General features: G+C 37.0%; 1 protein-coding gene across 17 annotated transcripts in view; it reads left to right on the top strand.

The window, feature by feature from the left end:
• The window catches only part of PDE4D (phosphodiesterase 4D), a 1553091-nt gene that overhangs the window by 690178 nt on the left and 850311 nt on the right, over positions 1-12602 (top strand). The gene's annotated exons all lie outside the window — the stretch shown is intronic.

Below are 12602 nucleotides of genomic sequence, written 5' to 3'. Positions count from 1 at the left end.
TCATCTCTGGCTTGTCTCGTAGAGCCCTTTCTGGTGCTGACTTATGTTGCTGAGTCAAAGGCTTTCATAGTCAAAGCTCTTCTTTTTATCTGATATGTTTTGCAGTTTGCTGTACTGCGTCAACTCTACTGGGATCATATTTCTCTTGAGACTAACTACTAGGCAACCTGTGCCTTCTTCCTGCACTGCATTTTGCAAGTGCTTCTTAGGATTTCACTTTCATTTAAAGGCAGTAGATAGCTCAGAGAATGTGGAACAGTAACTAGAACAGATCCAAGAGCTGTAGAATCAAAGAAGAGTTAACTACTGTCTCTGAAACTTAGAATGTAACCAAAGTCAAGCTATGCAACCTCACTAAGCCTGTTTTCCCATATTTAAAAGTGGATTGTAATGTTTATGAGTCTACCACTACATCAGATTGGTGCAGTGATTACAGGAGACAGCGCATGTAAAACTCCTGGCATGGAGCCTGATGCATTTGAAACATTTACTACAAACTACCATTGTTGTTATCATTATTAAAAATAACCCATTCTTTCAAAGAATCTTGTTCTTGGCCACCAAGCTTGGAAGTCAGTGATATTGTTCATCTTATTTGCCCGGTTTTTTTTTTTTTTTTTTTTTGAGAATAATTTATGACCTCTGTGGCAGCAAGTCTGGCCTCATCTTGACCATTCTATCTGCATGTACTAACTTTTCAATTTTAATGGCCCTGTGAGCTTTCCTCCCATAAGCCAAAAAGTGCTGTTTTTCTATTCTAGTGTTTTCTTGTCAGGCAACAATAATTTCTAAATAACATGCCTCTTCTAAACCAATCTCTTAAAAAATAGATTGTTTTTGTTTCTGACCCTTTCTCATTCCATTTCAGAAACTATTTTTTCTCCTTCTTTAAGCAGGTTACAAACCCTTATATTTTTAATATGCTGAGGCTTGTAGTCAAACCATTACTGTCCCAAAAGAAAAGCCCTTTTAGCACATTTACAGCTTCTTGCTATCTGTGCCCTAACTAAATTGTGCTACAGGGATAGTTTCTTAACCATTAAAATGATAGGTGAACACAATTTTATTTTGAAGGATTACTAAGCTATTTTTAAAATTTCTATAGTTAGAAAAGAAAAACTGTTTAACTGAAACTTGAACCCAATTAAAATAACAATTCTCATGGCTCTCCGTTTTGCAATACTTTCCTATTCATAAAATAAGAATGTGCACTTTACCTTTTTGACCCATATATTTGATGTTTTTCAATTCTCTACACGTTCTTTATCTCTCTGTCAGTGTGGAATATTCTGATTTGTTAATTAATACCCAAAGCAGCAGTTGGCTATTAATGAAATGTACAGAAAGGTATTTGGTAAAGGCTACATGAAGATGATGATGACAATAACAAAGATATCTGATTGAAAGTAATCTTTACCTGTTAATCTTCCCTTAATGTCTCCGACTACAATGGCAGACGTTGCTTTCTTGGATGATGACTGAAAGATTAGTTTGGAATGAATAAATTTATTTTTCCATGGTTGATTCATAGATTTTTTTAGAAATTACTAATTTTGAAAATTAAACCTTCTTTTTCAGCCTTTTGAGTTTTATGTTTCTATAGTTTAGGCTTAAAAATAATGTAGACATTAGAAAAAAACTCAAGCGGTATTAATCCTTATATCCCTAATGGTAAAGAGCGAGGCAGCTAACAAATGAGGTGCTGGAACACTAGCAAGGGAGCCTGTCTCTCTTCTGGTCCTTTTGTTGTCCAATTACAGGTGAAAAGATGCTATCTGTCAGCTTGTCATTAACTCAAATACACAAAGGCCTGTCAGTTCTCTTATGCACTTGCCAATGTGAGCACATCCCATATTGATGTTTCTACTAAGGCTTGCTGTACTTGTAAACAGTGTACTTGTCTGGTAACTAAATAGGGACAAGCATGCAGTAACAGTGTGACACTGAGCATTTCAGTTATATGTCTTCTTACCTCAGAATTTTAAGAAGAAACAATGCTAAAGGAGATTTTTTTTAAAATTAAAAACAAAAACTACCTTTCCAGGGTATTTTAAAGAAAGAAGGTGAATTCCAATTGCACATACATCCGGTATGTGTGACGCCAGGTTTATCCATGGCCTCTCTCGCCCTACTGCTTTTTAAGTAATATGGGAAATGCAAATAACAAATAAAAACCTACTTAAATAGACTAGTAAAAAATTGAGCAATAAGGGATCATTGTATAATTAGATTAGAATAGTGATTTTGCAAAGGGTTTTAAAATGCCTTAACATAGGCACTGACAAAATGTTTGTAGGTCTTACTAATGAATTTTTATGTTTTTTCAATGGAATGTGCATTAGAATGAGGCCATTAGTTCTTTGTGGTTAACCAAAATCTCAAGATTTCTTGTAATGAGAGTAACTTTTCTTTCTGGGATCCCTGACAAACCGGAAGAGAGTGCTGCTGAAATGTGGGAAAAACAGCTGTGTTATAACAGGAGCTGCCAGCCCCCCACACAGCTGGCTGCAGAGATAATTAATTGTGAAGAGAGTAAGGAAGTAATTCACATAATTGTGTAAATGTTAAGTAATTTACATAATTGGGTATATATACAAATGGATTTCTTCCCTAAGCTATTTTTTTAAATACAGAAAAATCTAATCTACAAGCAGTTGATTATTAAGGAACCAATTTTTAAATAAACCAAAAAAAGTATCTATTCTAATGTGTGCTATTTTTCACAAAAAAAGTGTTTTCCTGTGACTGTATCCTGCATCCCTTGTTACAAGTGTGTGTGCATGTGTTTGTGTGTGTGTGTGTGTGTAGATAAGTATATGATGTCTTTCTGGGACTATATGCTTAATCTCACTACAATTACTTTTGGGTTATTCCATCAGCAACACAAGTAAATCTCTCTAGATACTATTTATCTCAGGAGTGACAAATATGTGTTAAGAATGACTTCTATTACCCCTGCATTATAAGTTTATTTTTTCCAGTATTTTTTTCCCTTTGATTTGAGACTTAGCCTAGGCATCATTCCCAAAGAAGTGCTCCAGACAGCCGCCATGAATGAATCAGAACTGGCCCTTGGAAGGAGGCCTACCTGCCGGTCCTCTAATGGACATAACTTACTTTTACCTCACAGTGTTACTCAGTGCTTTATCTACTAGGGCTCATGAGATGCAGTGTTCATACTGTTTTGTTTCCAGAATCCCTGGGTGTGTTTTATTCCCTCAGTTGTATATAACAGGACGCACAATGGGGTCAGGCCAATATTTTTTGGCTCTTAAAAGGACTCTTGCTGAGGTTTGCCAGTACCTGCTGATCTGCAGCTCCCCCAGCTTCATAAGCAGTGATAGGAGTACTGAGTCAGCCCCAAATTAAAGAACCATGCATAGAACAATGCCCTGCAGCAGACTCGTAGGACAAATCTGAAAGAGCATCCCCAGACTCTTGAGGCATAGATACCTCCTGAAAATAAGGGTCTGCCTTCTATAGGTCATTACTTTGGAACATTTAATAAAGCATTACCAAAAAGAAAAAATACATGTATTTTATACCCTCACATTTCTTTTTAGTCATCTTTAGTTTTGCTTACAGTCTGATTACCCCCTCACTCCCAAATCCTTAGCTCCTTACAAAAAGGAAAAAAATATTTTCTATAACATATATCTGGAAGTTTTAATTTTAGATTTATAGTTTCACATTTTCAAGCCAGTATTTTTCTAGTTCCATTTTGCTCTATTTCTAGATCATTTTTTCTCTCTCTTTTCTCTTAGGTTTTGAAATTGCTTTAGATCTTTAAAAAGCCATTCACCAGATTTTTTTTTAACTTGGCCTCAAATCATTTTTACTAAGTATTTTATTTGAGCCATCTTTTTTCTTTTTTCCATTTGTTTTGTTACTTTTCTCTCCACCGACCCTCTGCTATCAGGCAAGCATTTATATTTTCTATTAAGTATATAGTTTCTCCTAATCTCTATAAACAATTATGTGAAAATAATAAGTTAACAAATACAATATGACCTCAATTAACTGTCTTAATACAAGTGGAAATGGCAGAGATAATTCCAAGAGCCAATTTTTTATTTTAATGTGTTTTTCATATGTACATTTTAATGGGAGCTTTTATGATATTATTTTTCAGCCACACTATTTCAAAGAAAACAATGGAGGGCATTTTGTGGAGATCAAATTCTGGTTGAGCTGTTTGGACACCCAGCTGCCCATCCTTTCTCTAATGCTCCTCCCGAGCACCCAGCATCATCTCTCAGAATTAGACCTGAACTAGCCCTGACCTGAACTGATTCTTCTGTCCCTGGTCTTCTCTTTCTAAATTATATTTTCTTGATGAGTATTTTCTGTTTCTAAATTAGCATCCTCCTTCTGGGCAGTAAAATTGAGTGAGTATTAGACAAAATTGTGAAACGTGTAAACAGACATTGAATGGTTTAATTAATCAGCAAGATGTGCAGTTGAACTTGAAAGTAAAGCATGTGCATAATAATCCTGAAGATGATTGAAGATTAATTTTAGTATCTGTGATCAGATAAAGACACATTTCAATGATGCAACAATGTTTAACACTTGCAGGCTACTGCAACAGAATACTTCTTTAGGGTCCTGAAATCATTCTTGCTTTCCACAAACTTAGTTGAGTGCATTAAGAGATTCTGGCTCATAGACTACTTCTGCTTGTTGACTCATGCCTTATCCTTTTCACAGGATCACTATCTAGCTTTAATTAATTAAGTCAGGCTAATATTTAACCAGTCTTAACTACTATTGCTCACCTTGCTTTTCTATCTCGTGTTCATTGGGCCTGTCTTAGCAAAAAATGACTATAGAGGCAATCAAAATTTTTTATCTGATCATAAGTTCAAAGTTCAAGTCAGATAATTTACCTTAAATCTGGATTGAAAATTAATCATATCCCCAAAGTTTTGGCTTGAGTAACAGTCTAGATGTTTTTGTGTATTTCCTTAGATTCAATTCTATCAATCCTCTCCTGTGACACCTGTAACATTCCTATAGACGATTCCTGTTCAATGGTAACTCTTCACAGTGTGTCAGGAAGAGCTCTTAGAGATACTATTAGTCAGATTATTCAAATAATTTCTTTATTGTATATTCCTATTTGGCACCAATTTGATAGTAGCATTTCCTTGTGTGGATAGTTTCCCTTTATCTATTAAAAAAGCAGTCTTTTCTGACTATTTTCTATTTTCCCAGCCTCTACTCCCTTGCTTGGAATTGACTGCTGTGTTAAGAGCTATACAGGTTTACAGAAACTGATCTTTATGATTCCCAAAACACTTGGCTTTTGTGTGAAATTGCAAAAATTGAAATAGCCTCTTTGGTACTTGGTACTTATTCAAAATGTTCTCATGTGTCTTTTGGCTGCATTGCATGTTGTGCACAGGTACCCTAGAACTTAAAGTATAATAAAAAAAAAAAGTTCTCGATTTTCCAACACTGATGATAGTTCCGACTTTGCAGATTAGCAAGAACATGAATAAGATTAATTTTGCATAAATGTTTTTCATGTGCACAACTTGGAGATCTTCAGAAGAAAGAAGCAACGCGAATCTCATACATATAATCTTTCCGTAGCTTCTACTGTAAATTTTGGTGAAGTGAAACAATAAAATTTGTATAATGTAGAAATTAAGGGCTGATGACTGAATGGTCATTCACTTTAAATTCATGTATTTATTGAAATTATTACTCGAGTTCTTGGCTAGGGATATAGAGGTGAACAAGGCCCAAACTTGAAGGAGTGAGTATTGCACTGGAGAGAGAATCATGCTTACAAAATATTAGCAGGCCCATGTTCCTTAGTCTCTGAATTTGTAACAGAAAAACACAAATTCTTTCCACCCTGAGTCACTCCTATCCATGAGGAATTGATTGATTTAACTGGCAAGTGGCAAGAATTTGACATCCCTTGGTTCAAGCCTTCCAGTGGGGTAAAGGTGTGCTTAGAAGCCATGAGCACAGGGGATCTTGTTCTCTCATTTCTTATTCCCATCACCAGCTTTCCCCAGTAGACTGGATGGGTGAGAAGGAAGGCTCAATTAATTGCAGAACAATTGAGTAAGTGTCCTCCATGAGCAGTTTCCTCCCAGCTGCTGATTCTCAGGACCAAGATGAGGGGAATAATTAGAAAGCCTGATCCTGGCTGCAGGTCTCTGCCCTGATGCAGTGGTTGTTAAAGTACCAGTTAAGTACAGCTCAAGTTGTTCAACTCAGAAGGCACAATAAGCTTTAGCCTAATACTACAGTTCTATAGCTTTATGGATGGATACAGGGCAACGGACACAGCAGGTGAAGCATCTTAATGTCATCAGATGAGACAGAACCCACCCAGGTACACAGCTTCCATTGCTTCCTCACAGAGTGTGTGCGGCCACCATGGACAAGAACTAAACACCTGGGGGTCACTTTACCACAGAGACTCTGTCCTCAGTTTCCAACTAGTCTTTCAAAACTGTTCTGGTTTAGATGCCCAGGTCTCTATGCTACCCTGCAGCTCCCCACCCATGTGCAGTGCCACCACCAACAAGGCAGACATGGCATGCTGTATTCTTCTTAACTCTGTAGCTTCTAAACTATGAGTGCTATGAGAAGGCAACTCTGAGATGGTTCTTCAGCGTAGGCCTGGGTTAGCTCAGACCTGATGCTAACCCTTTACTTACAATGTCCAATCCAGATTTTTCAACAATAAAGATATTTTTTATTTTTATTGGATGCTTTTGTATGCTTAACATTTTATCTCCAATGTATCACATGTGAAAGGCTCTGTGGAGTCAGTTACACTCCTTTCTCTCTGGGGTAAGGACAGTTGAGATACATTGATTGCACCCAATTGACACGCAGAGACCAGTAGACATCAGACTTTTTTCATCTTACTAATGAGGTAAATTAATTATGTCTTCCCGTGAAGAGGTCTAAAGTGATGCTCTAGTGCTATTACCAATCCAAGAGTGGTATCAGAAGTCTCCTTTCAGAAATTGAGACAAAGAAAGAGGACACCTCTATTTTAAGAAAACAGGTATAATGCTGTAATATATCACTATCCACAGTGCAGTGGGATCCCAAGTGAAGGTGTGTCCAAGTGTGCCTGGAGGAGATCTGCTTCTCATTGTAGTGAGAATTTGAGCTGGGATGATAAGGCTCTAGTGAGGTGAGCAGAGAGAGGGCATTGCATGTAAGGGCTCAGTGGATGCCAGAGGGGAGCTGGGCAATATCCAGGAGATTGTGAAGCATACAAAAGACTGGGACTTTCCCGCCAAATTCATACTTACATTATTAAATAAGTACTTGTCGTCATCCAAGTTAATTAATTGATTTATTTAGATTTTTGAAAGCCTTTGAAATTGTATATAAAGATAGATACTCAATCTTTACTTAAGAATTCCATTGTGATCTCAAAATTCTTTGAACTATTCTCTTACTCAACAAATATTTATTGAATGGCCACTGTGTGTCAGGCACTAGTCTTTCTATAAACATAAGGGATGCTGCAGTGAACAAGACCGGAAAGGTCCCTGCTCACAGAAGGGTTACATTCTAGAGCTTCACTAGCAGTACAGTGGTACAGTAACCACCAGCATGTGTCGTGATGGAGCACTTGAAACGTGGCCAGTTCCAGTGGACATGTACTAGAAGAGCGACGTTCACATTGGATTTCAAGGACTTTGTATAAAAGAGAAGAATGTAAAATATCTCATTAATAAAATTTTTAATATTGATTACACATCAAAGTGATAGTTGTTGATTGTATTAGGTAAAATAAAATACACAACTAAAATGTGTTTTGTTTCTTTTACTTGTGGCTACTAGAAAAATTACATAGGTGGCTTGCCTTTCTGCTGGACAGTGCTGCTCTTGAAAGAAGAGTCAAAAAATGAACTACTTGACAAATAAATGAACAAGATGTTTTCCCACAGTGAGAACTGCTATGAAGACAGTAAAACTGGGTGATGCAATGGAGAGCGACAGAGACTACGTTAAATCAACCAGCCAAAGGAGGCTTTTCTGAAATGCAATTTTGCTGACATGAGGATGATAGGCAGGAGCCAGCCAGATGAATTTCTGTGGGAAGAGCAGCATTCTAGATAGAAAAATAGCAAAGGTCCCAAAGAATGGCTTGTTATCTTAAAAAAAAAATGGAAGGGTTAAGTAGTAATAAGTCTGAAGGAGAGTTGTATGAGAGGAAATCAGAAAAGTAGGCAGGGCTCAAGGAACTTGCAGACTTGGAGGTAAGATGGGATGTTTTTGAAGTGCAGCCAGAAACTACAGAAGAGTTCCTAGCAGAATGACAAAACTGATTTACATTTTTAGAAAGACCTCTCTATCTGTTTCATGAGGTAGGAGCAGAAAAATGTGTAAAGACTGTTCTAGTGTTGAATCGCAGACAAGGGTTCCAGAGGCTGCTTAAGGCTTTCAAATGGAGCCTCTGGGGGAAAGGAGAGGCTGCCAAGCTGGTCGACTCCTCTCTTGGCTAAAGCTTTGCTGGGCAAGCTCTGTCCTTCCCTCCATTCTTGCATTCTGCAGGCAGTTGGAGATAAACTAAAAGCATCACTGTTAATGTTGTTTTTCAAAGAATGGAAAAAAAAAGAATGCATTATAAGCAGGAAATCATGAAATGTGGGGGAAATTGCTTTATTGGCCCTTGGCTGGAGTCTACAAATTGGAGCATTATACAGGAAGGCATTAAACAGGGGGCGAAAGGGACATGAGTTTGATTTTATTAGCCTTAGGTGAGAGATGAAACTCTTTTTAAAGCTCCAAGAACCCCTAGGACCTGAGTTGAGAAGAGACACAGCACAAAGCAGTACAAATCTGCTGAAGCTTCAGATAATCTTGAAAAGAGTAGAAGACACTGCAGCTCTATAGCTAGAGAAAATCAAGCCTGCTTTGTTAAAAACACTGATTTGTAAGGATGGCTGTCCATTCTGTAAACCAGGGTATAACTCTTTTACGTGACAAGACCATTAGGAAAAATGGCAATTAGATGAGCCAGGATTTCAGCAGTCAGTCTAGCTGAGGAAAGCGTTTTCCATCCCTACTGCTTACCGGCCATTTTGGGGGACCATGATGACTGTATGAGACAGCCTTAGTTTGAGACAGTTGCTGGAACTTGACTGTCATATTTGAAGCTGCCAAGCAGTCAATTGACAATGAGTTATCAGGGGCTGCATTGTTTTAGGCCACGTATAAAGCTGGATTGGACAGGTATGCAGAGTGGCTTCTACTCACAGCTGGGCAGCTGTGGTTTCAGCAGTCCTTGTAAAATGCCTTACTTGGGAGAAGAGTCTTCAAATTAGAGTGGTAAAGATCTATTTAGTAGCAACATTTTAAACATCACATTTGAACAAGTATTAAATATGCCAAAGTTCAGCATTTCATTCATGGTCTACTCTTTCCCTCTCTACTCACTTTTTCTAAAAGCTAAGATATTACATTGGTTTAAAAAAGGGGAAGTTACATAAAATATAAATAAAATGAAATATAACAAATTCTAGTATAATAAAAATTCTCCTTAAAAATCATTACCTCCAATACAAAGTGAGATTAATCTATCTACCTTCACTGTGAAAAGTATATAGAAAACAAAATTTAAAAATTACAATAGTTCTACTCATCCAAGATCATAAAAGCATGTTTGTTTCAATGAAGAGAATTGTCTGCATTTACTTGGATGTTCATAAAACTGGGTTTCCCTATCTCTAATTCTTTGAGTATAAAGTTTAATTATATATGCCCTTTCTAATAACATATAAATAACAAAAAGAAAGTAAAATCCATATTATATCATATATAAATAGACCAATTTTTCGTCAGTATCAGATTAAATAAACAGTAGCCTGTCATTCCAAAACACATGCACACACAAATCATTATATACAATTTGTGGGAAACATTTAAAATTTATTTATAACGATTGGGAATAAAGAAATATGCAAAGACATAGGGCAAATCCAAACCAAAACAATTCAGCAGTAACAATATTAAGATTAGACAAGGGGAAATGTCAAGTTTAAACACCAAAAAAAGGTAAAATCAGTGGTGTTAGGGCGTTAGCTGGTACCAGCTTGTAAGAGCCTATGGTTAACATATCTTCCTAACTCCATGTTCAATAACATCATATTGAAATTGGCCACAGTGTGATTATTTACACCGTAGAAATTGGAAATGATACAAATCAGGGCTTTCTTCCTCCCCTCCTCTAGAGCCAATTGCTAACCATTTACTAGAACACCATGGGATAGAAATGATGAAGTTAAAATTATTTGAAATGCACATGTGCTCAACAATATAGCAACTAAAACTATAAGACAAAAACTATTAGAAATGTAAGGAAACTTTATTTAAAACACATGATTATACTGGCATATTTTAGTTTATTTCTTCAGAATTGTACACATCCAAAAACTATTAAGTAACAATATAAATAAATTAGATGTAATCCATAAACTTAGTAAATGAAATAGACAGTCTTTATTCATTCAATGTAAGTGTGTAAATGGATGTCTCCACCTTAAAAATGAGATATTTTAAATAAGCCATAATTGATTCAAAATGGAGTTACCTTTTTTGGCATCACTAACTTAGCGAGTAATCTTGTAATCTTCCTCTTAAAATTTGTTTTTGTGAAATCCTAATTTTCTATTTCTTTTTCTTTTGTTGTTGTTGTTGTTGTTGTTGTTGTTGTTGTTGTTGCTGTTGAGACAGAATCTTGCTCTGTCACTGAGGCTGGAGTGCAGTGGCACGATCAATGCTCACTGCAATCTCCGCCTCCTGGGTTCAAGTGATTCTCCTGCCTCAGCCTCCCAAGTAGCTGGGACTACAGGTGCCCGCCACCACTCCCAGCTAGTTTTTGTTATTTTTAGTGGAGATGGGGTTTCACCATGTTGGCCAGGATTGTCTCAAACTCCTGATCTCAAGTGATCTGCCCACCTCGGCCTCCCAAAGTGCTGGGATTACAGGTGTGAGCCAATGTGCCTGGCCCTAATTTTCATTTATTATACTTCCCTTACTATAGATTCAATACAAGGGAATGAAAGCTTAGACGTTCTTGGCATATTTTATGAACTCCTATAAACCCCAACCAGGTTGTGAGTAGTTATCGCTTACTGAGACCTTAAACACAAACAATATTTTAATGTTCATTTATTATCCTGAATAAGATACATAGATATATATTGGGAGTTGAGCGCTACCATGTCAAGAGGAGCAAGCCCATAGAATGATTTTTCTTTCATTTTTTTGCAAAACAACTGCAATGTCCCATTAAGACTTTTCCTGCATGTTCGTGTCAGATGAAGGAAAGTATTTTCCACTGATACCCCAGGTTGTTAGCTAGTCCCACGACTGCTCTTCAAGAAACACAAGAGACCTATCTGAATGTGGGTAAAAGGATTTCATGTTGCTTTTTACTTAGAAACCCAGATTGTTTGTAATAAGCTCTGTCTGATTCCTTCAACACTTAGCATCCAGGCAGTTTTCTTCCTCTAAACTTCAAAAAATAGGAGAGAATTGTAAGGAAAATGATAAAAGCATCTGAAGTTCAGCAAAAGTGAGCCTCATCTGAGCTGACTTGTCCTGATTTGGGGATAGCCTGAGGAGAGTGTGTTCACGCACCTTGCAGAGTAGCCCTTAGCAGCCACTTGAATAAAAACGAATGAAAAGATAAACAACAGGAGTGGGCAGAAGTTCGAAATGGAGGATGTGTGTGAAGAAATAATAACATTGTCTTGAAGATTTTAGAAAATGGGAGAGGCAAGAAAAAGAAACATAGAGATGAATCCTGGAAAAGGTATTTAAATCTTGGTTGATTGTTCATAAAGCCCCCACCCATAGCATCTTCATCATCCCTGTGGGATGCAAATATTGTTGTTTTCATCTTACACACACGGACATTGTGTTTCTGACAGGCCAAGGGGCTGTTCAAGGTCAAATGACTGTTGAAGGCAAAACCACTAGTATGCAGCAGTAGCAGAAAATGAATGCATGGCTTCTGATGATAAATCCTATGGTCTTTTCAAAACGCCTCTGTTGTCTCTAGGGAAATTGCCTCAAATTAGAAATCAACACATTCTACTGCAGTTCTAATTTGCACACGCTTGCCTGAAAACTTTCTAATTTCTGGTTCTTTTTTACCACCTCCTCTCCCACTTAATTTCATAGCTACAGAGGGGAAAGATAGCTACTGTCCAAATAGTCTTGCTAAAGGACCTCATTTTCAAAATTCTTTTTCCCCCTTCAAGTCTTCATTTGACTCACGGTGTAATCACATTAGTGAGGAAGATTTTGTACAGTCATACCTAGTGCCAAATATCAAGTTTTCCTCCAAAAAGCAAAATAAAATGATGGGCAGACCACCTGCTTTCCATAAAATTGTACCAAAATCAAGGAGGACAACTCTACGTTATCACGTAGAAATAACATCAGCATTTATGAGTAATAGGTCTGTTTGATGGGCAATGCTGTGGTGTGTAAAATTCTGATGACAACATGTTGAAAAAAAAGTCTGGAAGAATGGGAGAAAAAAAGTGAAAGTCTATGGAAAGTAGTAGATTTGGAGTCCTTTTGAAGAAAACATGCAAGAA

The sequence above is a fragment of the Homo sapiens genome, chromosome 5 (assembly GCF_000001405.40).
Source record: "Homo sapiens chromosome 5, GRCh38.p14 Primary Assembly".
Taxonomy (NCBI): Eukaryota; Metazoa; Chordata; class Mammalia; order Primates; family Hominidae; genus Homo; species Homo sapiens.
The sequence above is the reverse complement of the archived record's forward strand: the minus strand, read 5'-3'. Positions and strand labels throughout refer to the sequence as shown.